This window comes from Homo sapiens, chromosome 10, assembly GCF_000001405.40.
Source record: "Homo sapiens chromosome 10, GRCh38.p14 Primary Assembly".
NCBI classification, from domain to species: Eukaryota; Metazoa; Chordata; class Mammalia; order Primates; family Hominidae; genus Homo; species Homo sapiens.
Window position 1 is genome coordinate 80,940,644 of NC_000010.11, and position 25,862 is coordinate 80,966,505.

Sequence of the window (25,862 nt, forward strand, 5' to 3'; positions counted from 1 at the left end):
GGGCTTAAAGAGTTTGGCAGAGGGATTATGAGGGATCTTACCTACTTCATGAAGTTAAACTGGGGACTGGAAGGGATTTCTTCAAACTTCTTTTTGAAACCTTGTGTGAGATCCTGTACTGGTTCCTTGGGCTGGACTCACCCTCCCCCTATCAAAGCCATGTTTGTGGTCTTATATAACATAACATCTGCAGCCTGAAGCCTGGGGCTTAGTGGGCCCATGGGGCCATCATGATTCTGGCTTGCTTGCTCTGCCTTTCCCTGGTGTAAGTATTGTAACTATGGCATCCTGGCCAAGTATGTAAGACTCCAACTTAATCATGTGCAGTCAGACAGCAGAGACTGTTGAAAAAGATGACTTTCTCTTTATTTATACCACCATGGTATTCAGGATGTGCTCTCCAAGGAGAACTGGAGCCTGTAAGATGTGGATGAGTTGTGCATCAGTGGTGCTTGACAGTACAGTGCCTTACTTAGTCTTTCTACAGCTTCACCTAACTCTAATGACTGTCAGTTATTTGCAAGTATGGAAGGTCCCCGTGAGCTGAATGCCTGCAAATATTTAATGTATGTCATGCTGCTTGAGGACAAGATCAGCCACTATTCCTCTGCAAAATTCCTGGTCCAAGGTCCTGTGCTGAAGCTTTATGCAAGGTTGTTGATTGTTTAATTGTGTATCACAAGCAAAGAAATAAAGAGCCTGAATGGATAATGGTAGGCAATTAGCAAAACAAATTATTTGAGATACATCATGTGTAGTAGACAGAATTTTGGTCCCTGTAATCTCTGCTACCTTGGTGTTACTCCTGTGGTTATGTTGTGTTAAGTGGCAAAAGGGAATTTGCAGATGGGTTACTAGTTAGTTTATATTTAAATAGGAAAATTATCCTGGATATTTAGGTGGCCCAGTGTAAACACTCGAGGCCCTAAAAGCAGAGGAGGAAGGCAGAGAGGGGCAGTAGAAGGGGAAGCCAGAGATATAGGAAGCACAAGAAAGATTTGCCATTATTGTTGGCTTGAAGATGAAAGAGATACTCTGTCCAAAAACAGGAGCATCAATCCTACAATTGCAAGGAACAGAATTCTGCCCATAGCTAGTGAGCTTGGAAGAGGGTCCCAAGCCCCAGGTGAGAACTGCAGCCCCTGCCAATACTTCGATTTCAGCCTTGTAAGACCCTCAGAAACTGCAAGATAATAAATAGGCCTTATTTAAGCTGCTAAGTTTGTGGTAATTTGTTATGGCAACAATAGATAACTAACACATGATATGAAATACCATGAAAGGAAATGCCATGTATCTCTTAAAATTGTCTTGGAAGTAATCATGTGTTGAATTGCAAAATGAAATTCAAAGTATGACTCTGATGTGTAGAAAAAATGTACTTTTCTTAATTTTTATCTATAATTTATACAACCTTCTCTCTCAAGTCCCTACCCACAGGTTAGTGGGAAGAATGACCTGTGTTTAGTCTTGCTTTAAGCCTAGTCCAGGCTGATAACTTAAATGGTAACTTTGGGTAATATTGAGTCACTTTTTCATAAAAAATACTGTTTGTCTTAATTTCTTCCCCTCCTCATGCTTCCTTCTCTCAGATGGGAGGATATGTTTGAAATTGCATCCAGGAGGTGATTTAGGAGAACACATGGCATTGGACGGGAAAAATGATCCTCTAATCTTCATGGTGACTTTTAATTTATGCTTAGTCTGCTGGTCTTCAGGACAATATTCCTTCTGCCTGAACTGTTGGCCCCGCTGGCATTCAAGACAGAAAATTTTGACTAATATAAGTCATATGCCCATCATTCTCAGCTATGTTGGGCCTCTGTTCTCTTTGGCTGACTCTGCTGTGCCCACCTTGTGTCTCCCTGGCAGAAGAAGACTGACGTTTGGCTGGGTCTCTGCTGTGGTTCAGTTCAGAGGAAGTGCTTTGTGGCAGCTGCTAGAGACTCCCCTTGCTCCCTTCCTGGTGCCCTTCAACATGCTCCACAGCAGGACTCACAACATCTTTGAATCCCATGTCTATCACACGGAAACTAGGAATGGCTCAGGAAGAGCCACATCTCCCTGGTCAACAGGTCATGGCCAAACCTGAGATGAAGCAGGGCCATTTATCTGCTTGTCTCAATGCCTTTTTTTCTGTCTTTCTCTTTTCCTATTACGTCTCCTCTGTCATAGCCTCCTATCATCAAGAGAAAAGCTTTATGAATTTATTGTCCTGTGTAGAAGGTCTATCTCTGCCAAACTGTGGGAGAACTCTGTAAGTATGTATCTGTCAGGCACGGCCGCTGCAATTTTAAATAGAGGAGATAAAGAAATTTTGAAAATCCTGTCTCAAAATGCTTGCCTCTCAAGCTAATTTTCTTGTGGCAAAATCCTAGTTTTCTTATCAGAAGCTGATTATTGCTTTGTTCTTTCCATTTCTTCTGAAACATATGTTCAACTGCCTGCAGAAAGATGGATAAGGTAAGAGAGAGAACACATTAATAATGTTCAAAATATCAACACATTAGAATTACTTACTGTCTTCGATCCTATCTTATTAAAGAATAAAGTTATAAAACAGTGAAAAAATTGTAATCATATAGAAGAAAATTGAAAACCTGAACACAAAGTTAATTTCAATTGCATAGTAGAAGGCTTGTGGAGATTTTGGATTTATTTTTTGTCTCTTTTTTTTCCAATTTTTCTTCTGTGAATTTACATTATTTTTTATAACTTCACAAAAATAACGTATTATATTTAAAACTTAGGATACTTAATCCACATATTCTTCCTTCTTTTTTCCCCTTTTTGTTCTAATTTATTCCTTCAGTTACTTCCTCTGTCTCAGGTACCGAAGTGCCAAAATTGGTTAATCTTTTGCTCAACTTAGCGTCCTCATGCAATTTGAAGTTACAATTCAACATGAATTCAGAGATTTTCAGCATAGCTCTATGGCCCTCTCAGAATATTAATATTTCCAGCTTTTCATGTTTTTTGAAATGCATCATTATTCTATGATTCTATGTGTATTTGGCTTTATATTAGTTTAATGTTTTAATAGCTAAATACTTATAGCTCAGGTATGTAGTTTTAAAATAAGTATTTATTTCATTACTTTGATTATCCAATACTGTGTGAGATCAGGGTACCATCAGGAGACAGAACATACTAGTTATTTGAACAGAGATAATTTAACCAGACACTGTTAAGGATAACTAGAGCTGGACAGAAATTAAACCAGTGAGGATGGAGTCTATTAAAGAAAAACAAAACAAAACAAAAACTATTGCAGTAGCAGAAGAGAGATTCCAGTTCTATAGAAATAGAACTGGATTCAACTCCAAATATAATTAGAACAAAATGGAGATTTATAGCCAAGAAGCAAGTTGGGGATATGGGGAAATTGATAGCTGGAAAACTACTAAGAAGAGGAGACATCAAGTCTGGGGGGATTCTGGCTGAACTGGCCAAACGGGATTCCTGCTGAAGGCAGGGCAGGATGACCAGATACCATCTTGGAATAGTGGAGATGAAGAGTTTGATCAGATACCAAATATGAAGGTGAAACAGGAGAGTTCCCTGAGCCCCCTCACAGAACGTGCAACAGGGGTGCGGCTCATCTATTTAGTCGCCACTGCTGCTCAAACCCCTACGGGAGTGGGAGCATGCAGACGGACAGGTGCAAGAGCTCAAATGGGCATGCGTTACAGTGTGCTAAAAGATTAGCGTTGCCATCATGGATGATTTAAGTGTTAACCAGCCCAGTGGACCCTCTGCCTTTTTGCAAGGGCAGAGGGCCAGTGTGACAGCTTTCTGTATCCCGAGCTCTTGTTCAGCATCCCAGAAGAATTGGGTCACACATGGACCTGAAGGATGGTGAATGCGGGGATTTATTGGATGGTGGAGGTGGCTCTCAGTGGGATGGAAGCAGAGTTGGACATGGATGGAGTGGGAAAATGATCTTCCTCTGGAGTTTGGCTTTCCAGTGGCTGATTCTCCAACCGTCCCCAGCCGAACTCCTCCTGATGTTCAGACGCTCCTTCTCTCATTCTCTTCCACACCGTTCTGACATTCATCTGCTTGTCTGCTTGTCTCCTTGTCTGTCCCTGAAGCCTGGGGTCTGGGTTTTACATGGGTACAGGATAGGGGGTTTGGCAGGCCAAAAGGCAAGTTCTGGGTGCGAAAACAGGAATTTAGGGCCATGGGTATCCAGGTGTGAGGGTGGGGCCTTTGCTGGAGAACCACCCTCCTCTACCCAGTATTTCCCTGTCTCCTGTCTGTATCATAGGGTTGGGAGTTCTGCTAAGCTGACCTAGCAGGATTCATGCTAAAACTGGACTCCACAAAGAAAGTACATGAACAGGCCTGTAGAAGAGAAGATTCAGGGGAGTTTGACTAAGGTTTGGCCAAGAAAAGAATCTTAGTCAATACAAAGGTGTTTAGCAGGAAACTGAAACGGTAAAAAGCCAAATTTAAGATATCAGGGTAGTAGCAATTGTAGGAAACAACTGTCATTCCCAGGGCTGGGGCAGCAAAGGAAATAAATGAATTATTAAAACAATAACCTAAAAGAGGAGCCCTGCAAAGCTGAAACTCAGACCCCTCATGGCAGAGCACAGGCTGGCCTGCCTGGTGTCTGTAAGGTCAGGGGAGCGTGAGGCTGGTTTTGTAAGTGATGAAAAAATTGCAAACTGAATAGAGCTGCTGCCATTGCTGCTGCCAGGATAAAAAAAGAAAGATGTGGTTGTTGGTCATTCTAATGCTAGGCTGTCCAGAAACAAACAGGAAAGAGCAAATCTCCCTCTCCTCCAGCTAGCTTCCCTCTACTGTCCTCTTCTGGCAGAGCCTAACAGATACAGCTGGCAATGCAAGAATACAGTTTGCAGAGTTTCAGCTCCAGCATTACAGAGCTAGGTAAAGTTGGTGTGGAGCTGTGACAGTTACTTAATAACTGGCACAAATATAATATAATGAAAATATTTGTGTTTAAATAAAAAGAACTATCTTAAATTTCAAATAAATGTAGGATAAGAGTGTTCCTCCTCTCTTTATGAATTTGTTAAATCAAATTTAGCCTAAAGCTGCCTCCTTACATATTTAAAGTTTGACCTGAAATATTTTAAGTTTGTTACATTGTGAACTATAACAAGTGCAGGTGTAAAAAGACCATAGCCTACACTTGTGCCAATCAACAGATTTTGGCCAAGCAAATGTAGCCAACTATTTGAACTATGTTCAAATAAGGCAAATATCAAGCTGTAACGAATCCAGTTGTTTTTGTACCTCACTTCCATTTTTTGTATGTCATTTTCTGTTTCTATTTATAAATCTTCTTCTGCCACGTGGCTGCGCTGGATTCTCAGAGCCTACTCTGGCTTGAGAGGCTGCCCGATTTGCGAATAGTTCATTGCTTAATTAAACTCCTTTAAATTTAATTCAGCTCAAGTTTTTCTTTGAACAAATTTTATAACCAGTTGCATGACAGGAATGTCAATCTTTAAGAAATCAACTGCTATTTCTAATTCCCAAAAAATGTGAGATGCCACTATAGAACATGTTACCAAGATTGAGGCCAAAGACTAAATCATGTTTGTGGGAGGAACATCAACAGGAGGAGGAAGAGAAATTATGTACCTGAAATATTCAGTGTCAGCAACATTTACTCTGTGACTTTTATAAGAAGGTGAATATGGAGGAATTCTAGAAATTTAAGTTATTCCCAAACTCATATTCTGTGATGCCATGACATACTCACTCAAGTCTTTGTAAGGATCGTTTTTGGAGTGATGTAAACTACATTAATTTGTTCTTAGTGCTAACTGTAGACAGTAGTATGTCATTATGCCAATCAATTGTATTCAAAACAATTCCACAAATGTTTATTGAGAATTTTTCAAATTGCAAGGAATCATGATCAGCAACCATATTCAAGGAGCTTAGAAACTTTAAAAAACCTTTTGACATACTACTTTTGTAGAAGTAAAAGAGAAATTTATAGGTTTATAATAAAAATAATAATTTTCAACTCTCCCTCTCTGTCCCAGAAAGAGAAGGCTAATTCACTAAAGACTCTTAGTCAGTAGAGAAGGCATCACAGTTAAATCTGCATAGTACATCTTACTCTTGTTTTACGCTTAGATAGGCCTTTCCCCACTCCTTTCTTTCTTTGTTTCAAAGAACAATGGATATTTGAACCTAAAGTCTAAGAAATCTCTTTGAAAATCTACTGTAGTGATTTAGTAATTTTTTCTGTGTTATCTGCCATGTATGCAGGAGGCATGCATGTTATTAAACTTCTGTTTGATGTTCTCTTGTTAATTTGTCTTTTGTTACAGGAAGTCCCAGCTAAGAACCTATGAAGGGTGGAAGGGCAAATTATTTTTCCATACCAACAGTTCCTTTCTCATAGAACCACAGGGAGATACTTTGAGTCCTGTGCTGAAGTACACAAGACAAATTTTGTTACTAAGTAGAAGTGTTACAGAAAAGGGGTCCTGATCCAGACCCCAAGAGAGGGTTCTTGGATCTTGCGCAATAAAGAATTCAGGGCTAGTTTATAGAGTCAAATGAAAGCAAGTTTATTAGGAAAGTAAAGGATTAAAGAATGGCTACTCCATAGACAGAGCAGCCCTGAGGGCTGCTGGTTGCGCATTTTTATGTTATTTCTTGATGATATGCTAAACAAGGGGTGGATTATTCATGCCTCCTCTTTTTAGACCATATAGGGCAACTTCCTGAGGTTGCCATAGCATTTGTAAACTGTCATGGTGCTGGTGGGAGTGTAGCAGTGACAACGACTAGAGGTCACTCTTGTCACCATCTTGATTTTGATGGGTTTTGGCCGGCTTCTTTACTGCAACTTGTTTATCAGCAAGGTCTTTATGACCTGCAACTTATGCCAGACTCCTTCCTATTGTATCCTGTGACTTAGAATGTCTCAACTCTCTGGGAATGCAGCCCAGTAGTGTTACCAGTGGAGGGTGTCCAGGTTTTTGGCATCTTGAACAAAGAATTGGGCAAAACACACAAAGCAAGGAAGGAATAAAGGATTTATTGAAAATGATAGTACACTCTACAGTGTGGGAGTGGGCCCGAGCATAGGGGCTCAAGGACCCCATTACAGAATTTTTGGGAGTTTAAATACCCTCTAGAGGATTCCATTGGTTACTTGGAATACGCCCTATATGAAGGGAGAGGATGAAGTAAAGTTACGAAGTCATTTACTCCACGTAAGCCCTATGGAGAGGGTATTTCCTGTCATAGCTGAAGCGTGAATTGGCCTTATGTTCCCTGCATCCAGACCCTAGTTTCCTGCCTCAGTAGGTCTCAGCCTCATTTTACCCAGCCCCTATTTAAGATGGAGTTGCTCTGGTTCAAACACCTCTGACAGAAGTAACAATAATGAATGAGATAAACAACAACAAAAAATGTTTATTTTAGAATAAACAAAGATTTGTTATTGAACCACATGGCTTATTTTGCAGTGACACCTCTGGTTACTTGCTACAGTTAAATATGAATTCCATGGCAATGGAGAAAATGCAAAATAATGAGCTCATTGGAAACTAAAATACTAACTTCTTTTATAAGCTCTAGCTAAATTATCTTTCTACTTATTTCCCCCCCACCACCACCGCAAAAAAAAAAAAAAATACATCCGAAGTCTTAGCACCAACTAATAAAGGACTTCCTTTGGCATTTACCCGTTAAAAGATAAAGTTTGATTTCCCTCATGATTTTTAAGCCTGTAAAATAAAGTAAGAAGATAAGGCACATTAAATATCACATGGAAGTTTTAACACACAAAAAAATCTTTGCTTGAATTTGGTGTTCTTTCTTTTGTCTACAGTTCAAGTTATCTAAGAAATCCTTTTCTTTGTAAGAAGAAATATATACATATTCTGAAGTTTACTCTACAGTCGAAGAGTTTAAACTTGTAAATGAAAAATAAAAAAAGCAAACCTAAAGAACTGCTACTCCACACCAAACCAAACAACTCTTGAAGGACAACAAAAACAGGAAAAGGGAGCATAGCTAAACTTTTACCTTTACTACTAAATCAATGATAATGAAACTGTTTCTTCAGCACAAAGATTAAAGTGTATAAGTCTCTCAGTGCAACTGAAACCGCCTTTGCAAAAATCGTATCAGTAAGAAAAATTGTTATAGTAAGCTAAGCTAACCCACCCCCCATGTTGCCTTTCCCTTAATTTTTCCTGGGTTATTGGGCTGAACTAACTTTGCAAGATGTTTAGGCTACAGTGTAAACCATAATAGGTCTTGCCCAAAACTCAACTGCTTTTGTAATGCTAATGGGAGGTCAGCAAGCTGGGAGGTGAAACAGAGCCTGAGTTCTGCCAAGGTGCAGACATAAATGATTGTCAGCCATTATTCCAGAGGTTTTAAGATATGCAATTTTACCAACTACTCCTGCAAGTAACACCACTATTGTAGATTGGCCTTTTGAGATCTTTCCAGGTTTTTTACGATATAAACAAAAGGTATTTCGAGAAAGGGGGTAGAAAAGGCATCTCCATGATCCCCAAGAATTTATTCTCAAAAATGGGCTTAAGATAACAAGAGATGCCAGGCGTGGTGGCTCAGGCCTGTAATCCCAGCACTTTGGAAGGCTGAGGTGGGCGGATTACCTGAGGTAAGGAGTTCGAGACTAGCCTGACCAGCATGGCAAAACCTCGTCTTTACTAAAAATACAAAAATTAGCTGGGTGTGGTGGTGGGTGCCTGTAATCCCAACTACTTGGGAGGCTAAGGCAGGAGAATCATTTGAAGCTGGGAGGTGGATGTTGCAGTGACCTGAGATCACGCCATTGCACTCCAGCCTGGGTGATAGAAAAAGACTCTGTCTCCAAAAAAAAAAAAAAGAGAGAAAATAAAAAAAGATAGCAAGAGATGACAAGAGCCCTATAGGGATGGGACCTTTTCAGACAAAATTCACCCAAGGGCTCAACACATTCATGATGAAGAGTGTGCTCACTCATCTCTGACTCCCGGTCCTGACATGGCCTCGAAAATTCCTGCGCTCTGGATGGTGGAGCTCAAGAGAGAGTACCCTCACATGGTCACAAAGTCACGCTCTCAAGGATGTAAAACAAGAGGGAGACCACGTTTGGTTTTTGTTTCCGGGACCCACAGCAAAGTTTGTAATTGACCAGTCTGATAGGCTGGCTTGAACAGTGGGCTTATATGGGTCCTAAGCCCATGTTCTATCCTGTGGTACCGTTCTTTGTGACAGAACAGCATAGAAAGACAAATTCATAGCACAAGGTACATCAGATTCACTACAGCCTCAGACTAGCCTCATAAATCCTTTTTCTCATTAGTAAACAGTGATTTCTTAACATTCACTCAACCAGTTTGCACAGAAAGAGCGAGAGGATAGAAGCCTGACTGGTAAGAAATTCTTACCCTTTGCCAGCATGCCAGGTTTCTGGGTTCCCTTTCCTGAGTGGCCTTAGTGACCCTGCTGGCTGCACCGTAGTTGTAAAGGAAAATTACTTTTTTTCTGTTTCATGGAACGATAGGCAAAACCCTCTCGATTTTACAAGATGTTACCAAACGGGCTGCATGGGGGAACCAAGTTAACATTTTCCATCCCAGCTGACATAAAATACTGTAACAAAACAGACACTAGTCACCTTGCTTAGTACCCAATATTAACCTAGCAGGGTTCAAACTTGCCCCCATGAGTCCCTATTTTCTTTGATCCCCTCAAAGAGGGGAGGGATAACTTCCAACCAGAAATGCAGGACTATGGACAAGATGAAGGAGCAAATGGTCACCTCGAGTCAGGCCTGTTGTGCTTCCATTAACAATTCCTTCAGGGTTCATTGAATGTGAACAGACTTAAAGAGGGTTCTTTGATTTAGGCCTGCTGACCTTCATCACCAATTTCTTTAGAGATCCCCTCCACATGTACAGACACACACACAAAGGTAAGACAGACAGGAGGTCTTCCAAACCAAGATCCCTAAACAAGAATTTCATGAGTATTCCTTCAAACTAAACTCCTGTTCTCCATGTGAGCAATCTCCCCAAAACTTCTCAATTGAGGAAAAATCTCCTGAACCAAGACTATTCCTACTATTCAGGTAGAGCCAACCAAGACCTCCAAAGAAGCTGAACCAAGACCCCTAAGGAGCTGAACCAATCAGGAGAAGGAAGGAGATGTTGGCAGCACCTAGAATACCCACCAGACCAGTTTAAAAACCTCTTTCTAGGAACGATTTCTCTCCTGCAATTAAATCCATGCATCATGGGTGGGCAATGCCCCACAGGTAGAGATGGTGCCAGAGTCAGTCTCCAGTCTAGGCAGCCACTTGGGCTGGCCTCTAGATTCTTTGCTGGTGGGGGGCTACTGAACTGCAGCCAGGGAGCCACAAGGGCAATTCTGGACAAGCCTCCAAATTTGTAACCATCTGAGAGGTTATTTCTGCCCACTGCATAAAGGAAGACCCCAGCATTGTAGTAGAGAAAGAGTTTTATAGACATGAGGCTGGCCATACCATGGTGATTATGCAGTAATTCCTTTCTCAGAGTGAACAAAGAAGATTGATAAATAACAATAGGAATAAAAACAAAGGATATTACTTAGTAGTTTAGTAATTTAGCATACTTATGCAGTTGTACTTAGTAATTTAGCGTACTTAGTAATTTAGCGTACTTATGCAGTTGTGTATGTAAGTATCAAACACAGTAGTGAGGATTTAGACTTTGTTATGTTAGTACTGATGTATTAAGCAAGTGATCTTTTAAGAAAGAAAATGCTATTTTTAATCATGTAACCAATTCAGAAACAGTTGTGTTGACATAACTTTAGGTCCTCATATCTTTACTTATTAAGTTTTTCATTCTTTGATACTGTGAACCAAAAATAAAACACTAAGCTCCCAACTATTGGAATGGACCCCTCCTTTTGGCCAAGGACATTCCAAAGTTAACCTGAAAAACTAGTTCAGACCATAATGGGAAGGGGGAATGGGATGTGCCTGAAAACCATTAACATCAACACAGACATTAAGACTGATGGAACAGACCCTTTAAGTCTGATAAGAAACATTTATAATCTATTCTCTCTGCAGCCTGCTACCTGGAGGCTTCATCTGCATGATATGAGCCTTGGATTCCACAAGCCCTTATTGTAACCCAGATCTTTCCTTTCTATTGATTCTGAGTCTTTGGATAATATTTCAACCAATTGCCAATCAGAAAATCTTTGAATGCACCTATAAATCTTTGGATACACTTATCACCTAGAAGCCCCTGCTTCCAGTTGTCCTGTCTTTCCAGACTGAACCAATGTACATCTTATATGTACTGATTTATGTCTTATGTTTCCCTAAAATGTCTAAAACCAAGTCTTAGCCCTTGGGCAACATGTGCCCACCTTGGGCACATGTTGTCAGGACCTCCAGAGGCTGTGTCACAGTCATGTCCTTAACCTTGGAAAAATAAGCTTTTTAATTAATTGAGACGTGTCTCAGATATCTTTTGATTTTACAATACTCATTTCTACCATCTAATAAAAATGATAACAATAAGTAGCATCCATTGAGGGTCTTACTAAGAACGAGGTCCTGTTCTAACTCATTGCATCTATTATCTAATTTAATTTCCATATCTGTTCTCATTAGCTTATTTAATAAATGTTTATAGAATGTCTACAATATGGCTTATACTTTGCCAGGTCCTGGTGAACCACTGGTGAGGAAAAAAAGGAAGGAAAATATAAAAACAAAAATCTAGTTGTATCTTTTACAGTGTTGCAGGACTTTTCCTTAGTTCAGCGAAAGACGGGGTCCCTGTCCGTCCCACAACCATGAAAATGTAGGCTCACAGATGGTTTGAAGGGTGAGTAAAGCAGGGTTTTGTTGGGTGGAAAGGAAGAAAAGGGGGAAACGGGGACTCTCGCTAGGCCAGAGTACCTGCTAGAGCACTTCCTGCCTGCAGCTTGAATTTCAGGTTCCACACAGGAAGAGGAGGGGGCAGGCTCCTCCCCACTGCAAACAGCGAATGTCCTGAGGCTCCACCCAAGTGCGCAGTCCAGTTGGAGTTTTTTAGGGCCCCCCCTCAACACCTGGCCCCCACCGCCAACCTGGCTGTCTCATTCATTCCTGTAAAGAAGTACATCTAACTGCTGTTAGATTAAGAATAAGGAGGAAGAAAGATCTTAACTGCTTCCTGTTGACAGGGGGCACTGTTTTGGGGGAAAAAAGCAGTCAGAGATCCCTCAGAGGCCTAGTTAAGAGTCCCCAGCCAAAGGGGCCATCGCCCAAGGCTCTGGTTGTATTACCGTTTGGAGTTTGATGGCCTGAAGGCAAGAACAGACAAACCGGGTTATCAGAAAACATGTATCAAAATGAAACAAAGGGGAGGTAAGGACAGATAAAAAATTCTGAGGCCTTTTACCAGTTTGCACAGGGAGAGGGAGGCCAAAACTTTGGCAAAGAAACTTTACTCTTTTGCCGGCATGTTGCGCTTCTGGGTTCCCTTCCCCTGAGCCCAATCCTAAACCAGTAAGTTTAAGATTTGGGAAACTGGCCAGGTCCGGTGGCTCAAGCCTGTAATCCCAGCACTTTGGGAGGCTGAGGCAGGCGGATCATGAGGTCAGGGGTTCGAGACCAGCCTGACAAACATGGTGAAACCCCATCTCTACTAAAAATACAAAAATTAGCCAGGCATGGTGGCGCGTGCCTGTAATCCCAGCTACTCAGGAGGCTGAGGCAGGAGAATTGCTTGAACCTGGGAGGCAGAGGTTGCAGTGAGCTGAGATCGTGCCACTGCACTCCAGCCTGGGCGACAGAGTGAGACCGTATCTCAAAAAAAAAACAACAAAACAAAAAAACTTTGGGAAATCAACTCTTTCCAGTTTGGAGGATGCATCTGAGGAGAGTGTCCCATATTATGGAGACACAATTACCTATTAGTGAAGAGAGAACTGAGAAGGAGGGAAGAAAATAGAAGGCATTCTTTTTCAAAGGAGTCCCAGAGGTTTATGCTGCATTCAAAAGGGGTACAGACTGAAGATTAATGGCTGCCCATCTAGAAAGATGGGAGCAGGCATCCCCAGTTCCTTTCTATTCCTAGCAGATACCCAGAGTATGTAAGGGAGAGGGAAAGAGCGTCCTTTTTCCTTCTTCCATCCTTGCATCCCTGAGTTCTGGTGACTTTGGCAGGCGCCGCCACGGGTGTAAAGGCGGCCTGCACCCATGAAGTGGGGAGGGCCTAGAGAATAGGAATTATCTGCTCTGACCTATGCCTCTTTCCCCGCTGCTGTCAGTAGCCTTGGAGTTATCTAGACCTCATTTATGCCGTGGATACTAACGCGGCCTTTATCCATGAAGCAGGAACGATGGGATTGGCTTAATCGGCAGCAATCAGCCACACTCACCTGTGCTGTGTCTTTTAACCTCTGTTACCATTTGCCTCTGGATTCCTCAGATCCAGTTTTCTTTCCTAGGGCTTTGACCTAAAGCTTGGAATTGAGTCTGGGATAAAAATGTATCTCAGGGGGTTGCATTCACTCCTTATCATAAGCCAAATGCTAAAGTGAAACTGTGGACCTGAGTCCTCCTCCAAAAAAAGAGAGGAAAGCATGTCTTGTGACGCACCCAGATAACTGGTAGCTATAGTTATGCTTGCTAGGATTTGGGTGCAAGGTGCTTGGCTCTGGTTCGTCCCCTTGGTCTTACTTTCCCAAAAAGAAATCTCTGAGTTTATTTATTTATTCCTATCACCTGGCAAGATTTGCAGGAATACTGATCCAGATTTTTACATTACCCACCCCTTTTGTTCTTTCTGAGCTGCAGCTGGAGATTTCTGGTTGGTTCACAGGAACAAGCAGGGTTAGTCTAAAATGTAGGTAACAACTTAAAAACTAGTGAGTTTAGAATTTAATGACAAATTCATAGGTTTTGAAACATAATTTTTCTCTCTCTAGTCCTCATTTTTGCTAAAAAAAAAAAAAAAAACCCAAGTCTTAATAGGACCGAGTCGTTTGCAAAATATACTTTAGTCTTATACTTGGCTTGATTATTTGCATAAAGTACAGCAAGAATAATTATTTCTACATAGGACTTTTGGATTGGCTTTGATGGAAGTTTGTTCCACAAGGAATCTCAGATAAGACCTTTTAAAGCTGAGCCCACCCATGGGTTTGTATCCTCAAACACCTGTGAGTTGGGTGATTCTCTCCTCTTAAGGTCCCAAGATAAACTTGGAGCTCCTAGACCTGTTAGAAAGTGACATTCTTTGCTGATCACGGGTCAGGAACCCTGTACAGGGACTGTATAGGCAAGGGTATGAGGCCACTTTCCCCACTGGGCTTTTATTGGCTCTGCAAGTTGAGATTGACTCCTTAAAGGGACACATACCCTTCCAGTCAAAGCCTTGGTAAAATAACCACTTTCTCCAATTGTGTTCTGTTGCAAAAGAAAAATGAATTCTTATTGCACTGATGCAAACAACTGTATTGCCATAAGAATACTCACAGATAGTTTCCAAATTCTAGAGGAAACAGGCAGAGAGAAACAAACATGCTCTAAATTTTGTTCATAGGAGTATACCTTACTCAATTATCGAAGGCTGTAAATAGCTTAAAATAAGTTTCTTTGACTTTGAAAAACAAAACAAGGATCAGTAATATTTTAAGCAGAAGTCAAAAAGATTTGCTTCAGCTTTCTGAGTTCAGTCCATTTAATTAACTCTTGTTTTGCTTGGTATTAATGAACATTTCAGCTCTTTATGAGTCCCATACATTTTCCTTTATTCCAATGTTACAATCTCTAAAGTTATCAGCTAAAGATGGGGTCCTTGTCCGTCCCACGGCCATGAAAATTTAGGCTTGCTCTCTATTTGAAGGGTGAGTAAAGCAGTGTTTCATTGGGTGAAAAGGAAGAAAAGGGGGAGACAGGGACTCTCACTAGGCCTGAGTCCCTGCTAGAGGGCTTCCCACCCACAGCTTGAATCTCAGGTTCCACACAGGAAGAGGATGGGCCAGCATCCTCCCCGCTGCAAATGGGAAACGTCCTGAGGCTCCACCTAAGTGCGCAGGCCTGTTGTAGTTTTTCCAGTGACACTCTCCTACCTGGCTGTCTCAATAGGGCTTACAGCCTGGTACTTGCCTTGTGGGGCAGACACTATCATAATCCCACATTTATAGAAGAGAAAAAAAGATACAGAAAGACAATATGCATTGCTCCAGGTGACCCCATGGAAGGTGTTGGGGCTGAGGTTCAACTCAGGGCTCTTTGTGATGCCTTCCTGTAGCTGGACTGCCTCCAAATATATTATTCTACCTCTGAGCCCCACCTAAGCTCTACTGTTCTTCCCTCTACCACCTGCCCTTGCTTAATACTTCCTATGGTGCAGCCTTGAACCATTGTGTGCTTTGGTTTCTATTGAGGGCATGTCTGTCTCCCCAGTGGATTCTGACTTCCCAAAGGCAGGTGTCATTTAAATGCATAATCTTCACCTCTATCCCTACTACCAATTTGATGCTTGTTAATACTGCCCATTGAGGAGTAGGGTTTTACTCAGTGCAGGATATTGGAAAGAATGCCAGATTTGAAACAGGAGTAAGGCCGTAGGCTGTGATGTCACACAGGCAGGTGTTGAAGTCATGCTCTGTCCCTTCCCATGTGTAAGACCTTAAGGAAGCTACATAGACTTAATTTATTAATCTTTAGGCTGATGAATGTAATGTGTTAACATGTAATAAAACTAGTTTACATTTAAAAATTTTTTTCCAACTCTGACTCATGAAACACAAAGCCTAGGCTGAGTGGTGTGGACATCAATCCACCCTGATTACCACAGGTATCTGAAGTAGGTTAGTGGAGTGTAGTGGAAAGATCACTGCAGTGTGGTCCCTGGACTAGCAGAACTGGCAACACCTGGGAACTTGTTAGAACTGCAAAAATCTTTGGCCCAGCAACCAGTGGTTCAATTAGCCCTCCAGGTAATTCTGATGCACTGCAAAGCTTAAAACTCACTGCTGTACTGAAAGCCTACCTCTGTGACTTTGGATCACCTGTTTCCTACTCTCTAGGAATCAGTTTACAAACTGATAAAATGCAGGGGTAGAGTGTGTGGTTATTAAGGCCCTCTTACCTTTGACAGTTTATAATTCTGCTCTTAATAACTGCTGATAAATGTATTAATAAATCTTATATGCCAGGCACTTTGTCAGCTGTATGATGCATAGTATTTGAAATAATCATAGGAAACCTACAAAATATAAAACTGAGGTTTAGGCAATGTATGTAACTTGTTTAGGTACACTAAAATAGCTCATTATGGAGATAGAACTAGAATCCAAAATTTTGGTTTCTAAAACTGTTTGCTAAATCACTTTGCTACAAAAACCAATGAATATGCATGTCAGCGTTGCTGACCCATTTTGTAAATTCAGAATTTACAGTCAGGAACAATGTACTGTGTTTTTCTTGACTTTTTACCAAATTTCCAATAGATTGAACTAAAACTGCTAGTACAAGTTTCCAGTAAGGAATAGATGCAAACCAAAACTCAAATATCTTTGTGTTTTGGTGATTGATATGGTTAGGCTTTGTGTCCCTATCCAGATCTCATCTTGAATTATAATTCTCATAATCTCCATGTCTCAAGGGAGAGACCAAGTGGAGGGAATTGAATCATGTTTTCCCCCATGCTGTTCATGTGATAGTGAATGAGTTTTCATGAGATCTGATGATTTTATAAGCATCTGGCATTTCCCCGGCTAACACTCACTCTCCTGCTGCCTTGTGAACAAAGTGCCTGCCTCTGCTTTGTATTCCGCCATGATTGTAAGTTTTCTGAGGCCTCCCCAGCCGTGCTGAACTGTGAGTCAATTAAACCTCTTTTCTTTATAAATTACCCAGTCTTGGGCATTTCTTTATCGCAGCATGAGAATGGACTAATACAGTGATAAAATCCCTTTTTTTGTATAGAATTTTTCTACCCAAAATAACATCCCCTCGTATGATTTTGTGCTATGTGGAGTAATGCAAAAATTCAGATATGCCCATTTAATTTTTTATTTTAATTTATCACTTTAATACTAAGAAGTCAATTCTAATCACAATTTTTAATATAACAAGGCAAATTTTCTGGATATATTACCAGGTAAATCATCTAGAGGTGTAGTTTGGAAAATGCAGTTATGGCTATGACTCATGGATTCATTCTTAAAATGAAACAAGAAGTGTTTTTCTCTCTCCATCATCTTCTAGGTAGGTTTGGCTGGCATTAGCCAGCCCTTTGACAATCTGTTTTATAAATGTCATAATATTAATAACTTTGAATAAAAATCAAGGAAACTTGCATTTGATTTTTTATTTTCTCTAAGTCTTTATTTCTTATTTGTAAAATAATAATATTTTTAAAATCCCCATTTATTTCCCAAGGGTTTAGTGAAAAACAAGTATGATAATATTGGAGATACCGTTATTTGTGAGGTACCTGATCTTTTTCAATCTTTAGTACTTGACGTGTAAGGAACTTATAGAGTTGTTATAAAGAAACACATTTTACAGGCATATACAACACAGTTTTCAGCACAAAAAGGAGTGAATACATATTTTATTTAAAAGGTCAGATAAAACAAATGGACTCTTTATATTCATCTGTATCTTCAGCTTTTGAAAATATTTTACCTTTTAGTAGAATTTTATCTTCTGTGCATTTTGATTTATTTTCAAGTTTCATCACTTGAAAGTTTCAGTGATTTTCAAATGTTAATGTGATGTTTACTATATGCTAGACACTGGGCTAGATTCTGGGAACACAATTATATGCAAAACAACAACTACAAAGAGCTTATTGTTCAACGATTTAAGCAAATTAATATATAAAAATTCAATTATTACCAAGTATGGTAAGTCCCATTTAAAATTACCAAGTATGGGTAAGTCTCCAGATGAGAACTGGATGGATTATACTGATACATAGATGACATAACAGGATTTGGTGAGAGTTTTATTGTGAGAAGTGAGGGAGAGTGAGAAACCAAGAATCACTTGGCTTGGGAGGCAAGGTAGAGACAGTGGTGTCACTCAGTGGGACAGAGATTTTGGAGAGCATATTTGCACAGTAAAGTGATGTATTCAGTATAGAACCCATTTTTTTTCAGGTGTTTTTAAGACACCTGGCTGGAAGTGGCTCAGGTGGTAATTGATTTGTATGACTTGAGTTCCAGAGATAGAGAATTTTAAATTGGGAATTAATATTTAGGAATCATCAGTATACAGACAATACCATTTTCATCTTCATAGTCCTAGTCCAGCAGCTATAGAACTCTCTTCATGGAAGATATATAGTTGCAATGTATGAACATATCAACATTTTTAGTCGACATTCAGGGGTTCCTATTTAAACAGATAAGCATGCTATTCCAATCATGAAACCTGAAGAGAGTTAATCCATTATCTTTCATCATTCAGATATGGATTTATGTAAGAGCAGGGTTATGTTCTCACACAAACTGAGAATTCACTCAAAAGATGGATTGGGGTCACACACGCTAAAAGAGAAATCTTTACCTGCTTTTGTGAATGCTTCCTCTTTATCGCAACTCAGCAATCTTAGAGAAAATAAGGCTTAACAAGCAAGTCGTTGTTCAGATGTTGAGGAGGCAAAGTTGGGTCGATATTTTAATTTGAGTCTTACAATTATGGATGCAGATAGCATTTCTTGACACTGTGCTGATTCTTAATAGAATGCTCAACACACATTTCATTTTAGATCAGTTCTTGAAGATCCATATAATATATAAAACCAAAATTGCTCTCCTTAAAAATCTGAATTTTCATGTTAGAGTTTCTGAGCTCTATCATTTCTCTCATCGTTCACCTCTGCCTTGTTCAAACATGCTCCATCTATTTATCCCCTATTTATCCCTTAAGACTTGCTTAATAGCATTAAGATAGTTTTACATTTATTATGTCTTAAGAGTAAACATTATGTCTTTTCAATGATTATCTTTTTTCAATCTTTACTTACAATTAAAATAACAAAAATAGTAACATAAAATTAAAATTAAAAATAAAATGACAAATTCCATGTTTGGGCTTTACTCAGGTGCATCTAGTTTTAACTAGTATCAAATTAACCTTCTTTTTAAATATAACTTTCTTCTCTCCAGATAGAGTGACTGCAGTGAATATCTTTGGGTGAAGCCAATTTTCTTCTTTGCAGTTGTTTCAGGTAGCAAATTAGGAGTCAATTGCTGGATCAAAGAAACCATCACTTGAATTTTTATAATTCTTTCCAAATGTTTGAACCATTTTACAGTGCCACCCACTTATTGATTTTAGGAGCAATTATTTTGTAGCTTTCAAATCCATTTCCTCACAAATTCCATTTCTCTGCCTTGCTGATTTTCAAATTTATAGGCATAGATGCAAATGTTTAAGATAATTTTGTTACATTGCTATTAAAGTGTTTTTATGGGAGATAGAAGGAAGGTATGAGAAGAGTTTTGTTTCATTTTAGGTGCTAGAAACAAGGATAATATTAAAAATAATCAACAGCTCATTTGATATAGATATTGCATAATTAAAAGTAGTATCTGATCAATCAGAGTGAACAGCAAGGTGAAAAACCCATACAGTTAGATTAGTGCATCTGAATGAATATCAGTCCTAGCTAGGAAGACAGACAATGAGCTGCTAATTTAAATATAGTTGAGACACCATAACTTGGATTCAGAAGCTTACCCTGAGATATTTAACTTGAGTTGCTAGTCACTTCATCATTAACTGCCAACTACTACAACTATTAGACTTTGAAAAGATGAGGAACTTGAACAGTTAACAGAAACTGAGAAGATTCTCACTCTTAGTTATAAGCAGATAAATGTAATTCAAAAGAAATCTAATTTTATACCCAATATTGGCAAAGATTGGAATGTTGAATAATTTCTGGTGTTGACCAAGATATAGAGAAAAAACATGTTACAGCTATTGAAAGTGTAAATTCATACTGTCTTTTGAGAGAGCAATCTGGCAGTACTTAGAGAAATGAAGAATGGGTATTCCATATGAGCCAGGCTCCCACTCACTCAGGTCATAGGCAGACAAGGGTGAGAATGCTTATCATGACACAGTTTGAGATGAGCAACAGAGGTGCCCACATTCATTATAATGAATAATAAAAATGGGATGCATGGATATAAAGCCATATGGACAGATTTTAAAATACAATGTTGTGTGAAGCTATTAATAAATAGAAAAAGGCCTATAGCACAATGTCATTTATGTAAATTAAAATGTTTTATTTAAAATAACAAAAGGTGAATTATAAAATGTTAAATAATTAATCTCAATACACTGTATTTTTATTTTGCAATCCAGTATAAATTACTATCCTCATACTTTAAATATTTTTCTTTATCCCTAATGTGAAAAGTAATTTTTAATTTTTAGATTTCATTGTTTTCTAAGAAATCTGGAGAAGAAGCTTATTTGATAGTAGAAATGGTTTAAACGATAAAAAAAGATAAAATGACAAAATGCATAATTGTATGTATGTATATATAAAGAGAGATTACAATTAGATTGATAAACAGAAATCATCAAATTTCCCTCCAGATGAGCCTTTACCAAGGTCATGCATCCAGCATCTTCTTTTTATGGGATGGAAAAAGTAGGGCAGGAAAGGTAGTGGGGACTGGGTTGGAGGGGTACAATAAAATGCAACAATTGGGGCATATAACATGCAAATGTGATAATAGTATTCTTTAATCTAAGCAGTATGATTAACTCAACTGTTTCTACTGAGATCAAAGTAGAAAGAAAGAAAACGAAGAAAGGAAGGAGTCAGGGAGGGGCAGAGAACAAGACACAGAGAGAGAGGAAGTTTGGCAGGCATAAAGACAGATGCAAGGGAATAAATAAAGAAAAGTGAAGCAGTATTTTCTTTTTTGGAGGCAGTGGACTGTACATAAAAATTAAATTTAGTACCTCAACAGGGTAGTTGCAAAAATTTTGGAAGGGAAGTAAAAAGCAAAACTGGGAAAACATATTTGCAAAATATATAATAGTCAAAGGGTTATTTTCTTTGGCATATTAGGCAATCCTACAAGTTCACAACTCAATAGCAAAGAACATTTATAGTATAGACAGTTCACAGAAGGACTACAAATAGCTAAAAATTATATTAAAAATTGCTAGAATTATTCATAATGAAAGTACTGTAAACAAAACAATAATTTGATTTGTTCACTTATTAAACTGTCGCATATTACCAAGTTTTATAATGCCCAACACTGGTGAATGGAAGAATTCTAGAAATTTCATATTCTGTTGAAGAGAGTATATAATTAATACAGCCTCATTTAAAGGACAATTTGACCATATCATTCAAAATTTAAGATGTGTTTCTATTTGACTCACATGTCTTAGAAATTATCCTATGCATTTATTAACATGTGGAAATACATATGTATTTATCATCTGTGTAATTTGGGTAATTTCTTTAACTTCTATGTGCGTCATTTTCCTTATTTGGGTAAAACTGAGGTAATAATAGTGACTACTTCATAAAGTTGATGTGAGGATTGAATTATTGACATGTGGCTGGGTGTGGTGGCTCATGCCTGTAATCCCAGCACTTTGGGAAGCTGAGGCAGGAGGATCACATAAGGCCAGGAGTTTGAGACCAGCTTGGCCAACATGACAAAACCCCGTCTTTACTAAAAATACAAAAATTAGCCAGGTGTGGTGGTGCCTACCTGTAATCCCAGCTGCTTGGGAGGCTAAGGTGGGAGAATTGTTTGAACCTGGGAGGTGGAGGTTGCGGTAAGCAGTAAGTTGCAGTTGCACTGCACTCCAGCCTGGGAGACAGAGCCAGACTCCATCTCAAAAAAATTAAAAAAAATAAATATTGACAGGTAAGTCACTTAGAATAGTAACTGGAACATAGAAATAATAACATCAACAATAATATTATGATGATTACTACTGCTCCTAGTAGTTATATTTCTTGCAAGAATATTTTTATATTTCTAATACTAAAAAGGTACTAAAAATTAATTTTTATCAGTAGAATTCTAGTAAAGTAATTATAATGTATCCATCCAATGGCATACTGTATATGGGTAGTGAAATGAACATTTTCAATATCACATTATTAAGTGAACAAAGGAAAATGCAGAACAGTGCATATTGTATGCTTGCATTGGTATGGAAAAGAAATGTATGTATTTCTGTATATCTACGAGACTTTATAATTGTTGATGAGGGTTATTCATTCTTTAAACTGTGTGACTTCTTTTTTTATATTTATTTATTGTTATTTAAAAAGGAAAGTATTTTTCATAGAGACAAGGTTTTGCCATGATGCCCAGGCTGGTCTCAAACTCCTGGGCTCAAGTGATCTGTCTGCCTTGGCCTCCCAAAGTGCTGGAATTACAGGTGTGAGCCATGGCACCTGACCCAAACTGCTGGAATTCTTAAGTTCTTTGTCATTTTTATAATGGTGAAAAAACTGTCATAGTAATTATAAGCAGGAAATATTTATTGATATGAAAACCACACTCAATATATATCTAAATAAAAATATTAAGCTACAACAGTAAACATTTAGTCACTCTGTGTCTTAGTCCTTTTTGTGCTGCTATAACAGAATGCCAGGGACTGAGTAATTTATAAAAAAGAAAATGTGTTTCTCACTGTTCTGGAGGCTGGGAAGTTCAATATCAAGCTGTAGCATCTGGCGAGGACCTTCTTGCTGCATCATTCCATGGCAGAAGGCAAGAGGATGAGAAAGGGTGACAGTGAGAGAAAGAGAGAGCAAGCAAGAGAGGACCAAACTTGCTTTTATCAAGAAGCCACTCCCATGATAACTAACTCCTCCAATAGTGGCATTAATTCATTCATAAGGGCAGAGCCGTCATGACTTAATCACTTCTTAAAGGTTCCCCTCTCAACACTATTGCATTGAGAATTAAATTTCTAACACATAAACTTTGGGGGACCCATTTAAACCATAGCACCCTAAAATTCATGTATACCTATCACAGGGGAGAAAAGGTTTCTTTTCTTTCAAGACTGAAAGACCTATGATAAAAAACAGATAACAAGCAAAAAGGAAACAAATTTATTTTATATAAGTTTTATGTGACACAGGAGTCTTTAGAAATGAAGACCCAGTGGCTCATGCCTGTAATGATTACAGTGGCTCATGCCTGTAATCACAGAACTTTGGGAAGCTGAGGCAGGAAGATTGCTTGAGCCCAGGAGTTTGAGATCAGCCTGGGCAACATGGTGAAATTCAATCTCTACAAAACATACAAAAAATTAGCTGGGCATGGTGGTGTGTACCTGTCCTCCCAGCTACCTGGGAGGCTGAAGTGGGAGGATTCCTTGAGCTTCGGAGGGTGAAGCTGCTGTGAGCCGTGATTGCACCACTGCACTCCAGCCTAGGTGACAGAGTGAGACCCTGTCTCAAAAAAAAGAAAAAAGAAAAAGAGAAACAAAGACCCCCCAAAACAGGAAAAACTGTATTTTTGTGAACAGTTGCACAGAAGTATAACTGGAGGAAAAAAAAGAGTATGATGTAAATGGTAATAAATTGGGGCCGGGGGACTTAGCAAGGCCTGTTTGTTCAGATTCTTTCCTGTGTGCCTGTGCTACATTCCTTTCCTCTGGGTACAGACAGGACCTCTCTGGAATGAGGGTCTTATGAACTATTTTAGAGGAAGGCCAGTGAATTATTTTATGGGCTGCTTCAGGGGAGAAGGGTGGGAGAAGGTCAGAGAGACCTTCCTGCTTCTGCTATTTTCTCAAATGTCAAGGTGCTATCCTTTGGGGTAGTCTGTGATCCCCATCAATATAAATAACTCTGGAAAGCCATTTGACAATATGTGAACACTGATTATTTCTTAGTAGTGACATACTTGGAAGTTGTATTTTTCTGGCCTACTTGATTTCTACACGTTAAAAAAATAAAATGAATATTATTTTGACATAAGACAAATAATTATAGATATTTAGATATATGTGTATATAAAATATTAATATTCACTATCTCTTAAAAATCAATGTAGCTATTAGGTCTGTGATTTCTTGTATCTTCTATTACAAGCTTTCATTAATATTTAAATTAGATAATATTTAAATTTAAATGGCATACTCTGGGTTTAATTTCAGCTTTAAAAATTCCTAGCTATTTTTAAATTAGTCTCTTTAAATATTTTTTTTTCTGAGCCTTTGTTTGCTTATCTGCATAATCCGAGGATTAAATTGAAAACAAACATGCAAACCCTTTGGCAATTTTGTAGATTCTTTACAAATGATAGTTGCTAATGTTATAAAGTTGTATGAGAGCATCATGTTCAATGACGGTTGAAAACATTGCATAAAATTGAAAAATAATACAAAGATGCTGCTGAAATTAATTATTCATCACACAACTAGTCATATTCAGAAAGCATGCCTGCTCCACTGATTCCCTCTGTCAGCCTTCTGGCAACACTTAAATGGCTTTAACTACCTCATGGAAAGGTTGTTTCACTTCAGTTTTCATGCTCAGCAGTGTTTAAAACAGTTTGTTTAACATAACAGAGGATCAATTAATTTTATCTGAATTAAGCTTTATTAATCATTGTTTTCATCTAAAATAAATATTTTCAAGGTTATCATAATTTTTTCTTGTCTTTGTGAAATGAAACATTTAATTTGGTTCTCTATGAGGGGGAAATGTAAAGAGGATTAAAACAGTACTGGAATGAGCGCCTTAAAAAACTCACTAAACAAATTTGGTTGGCTCTCTGTTCCTCTTTCCTTTTGTTTCCTTTTTGATAATGCTTCTGTGAAACTGAAATCGCTTTCATCTAGGAACAGTTTCCTGGGTCTTTTTATGATCTGGGTATAGTTAGACAATCAGAGTTGAAATTTTAGAATTCATGTCTTCTTGGTGTTTGCCTTCTTTTAGAGGACACTTAAAGTTTTGAAAATTATTCCTGGATTTAAGAAGCCCTGAGTGCCTTTGATAAGAGATGGTGACTTTCAAGTGCTAATTGACACACTTGGTTTATCACAGGATGCCAAGATCACCAGATGAGACACCCAAAGAGAGACATCAAAATCTCTCCCCTTCAAAGGAGCTCCCATACAGTTTGTTGGGAGTGCAAATTGGTGCAACTTATCTGGAGAACAATTTGCCAGTTATTTATCAAAATTATAAACGCACCTACACTTTGAACCAGCAACCTCCCTACTTAGAATATATACTGTGGATATACAAACATAAATTATCCAGAATATAAGTACATGGATATTCTTTAAAGTATTTTTTTGTAATCACCAAAACATTAGACAGAACTGTCCAACATATTGTGATAATGAAGGTAAAATATCTTTATTCTTAGGAATTGCATGCTGAAGAATTTAGGGAGAAGAGAAATATGACAAAAATGCTAACTGTGTTGAATCTAGATGATGAACACATGGGTGTTTATTGTACTATATCTGTTTTTCTCTATGTTGAACATTTTCATAAAATGTTTAAAAAAATAGTTCATTGATAAGATATTGGACAAATAAATTATAAAATGGTAAATATGTGGTTGTCAAATATGTAACAAAATAAATAATAAGTATATTTTTCAGTGAAAATGGTAAATGGCAGAAAACTAATCATCCCATGTAGAGTATCTGAAGAATTACTTTAGAATAAGGCTCTGGAGCTATGATGGAATAGCCTGCAGAAGGCAGATACTCCTACTGAGAACAATTAAAAAGCTGGATAGGATACAAAAAAAAGTGCTTGAAGGCATCAGAGAGTTACTGAAGCGACTAGGATTTGAGGGTACAAGAGCTCAGAGAGAAGAAAACCTTTAAGAAGATAACATCTGTAACTGCT

The 25,862-nt window shown here is 38.5% G+C and overlaps 1 pseudogene, besides 1 other annotated feature; it reads right to left on the minus strand.

Annotated features, from left to right (window-relative positions):
- On the minus strand, window positions 1-564 carry WARS2P1 (tryptophanyl tRNA synthetase 2 pseudogene 1; annotated as a pseudogene).
- Window positions 8,089-8,590: an enhancer, noted in NCBI's record as "OCT4 hESC enhancer chr10:82708488-82708989 (GRCh37/hg19 assembly coordinates)". NCBI's record gives its function as "activates a minimal SCP1, AML or CMV promoter by ChIP-STARR-seq in naive H9 embryonic stem cells {active_cell/tissue: H9 hESC(naive)}" and the evidence as "EXISTENCE:reporter gene assay evidence [ECO:0000049][PMID:30033119]".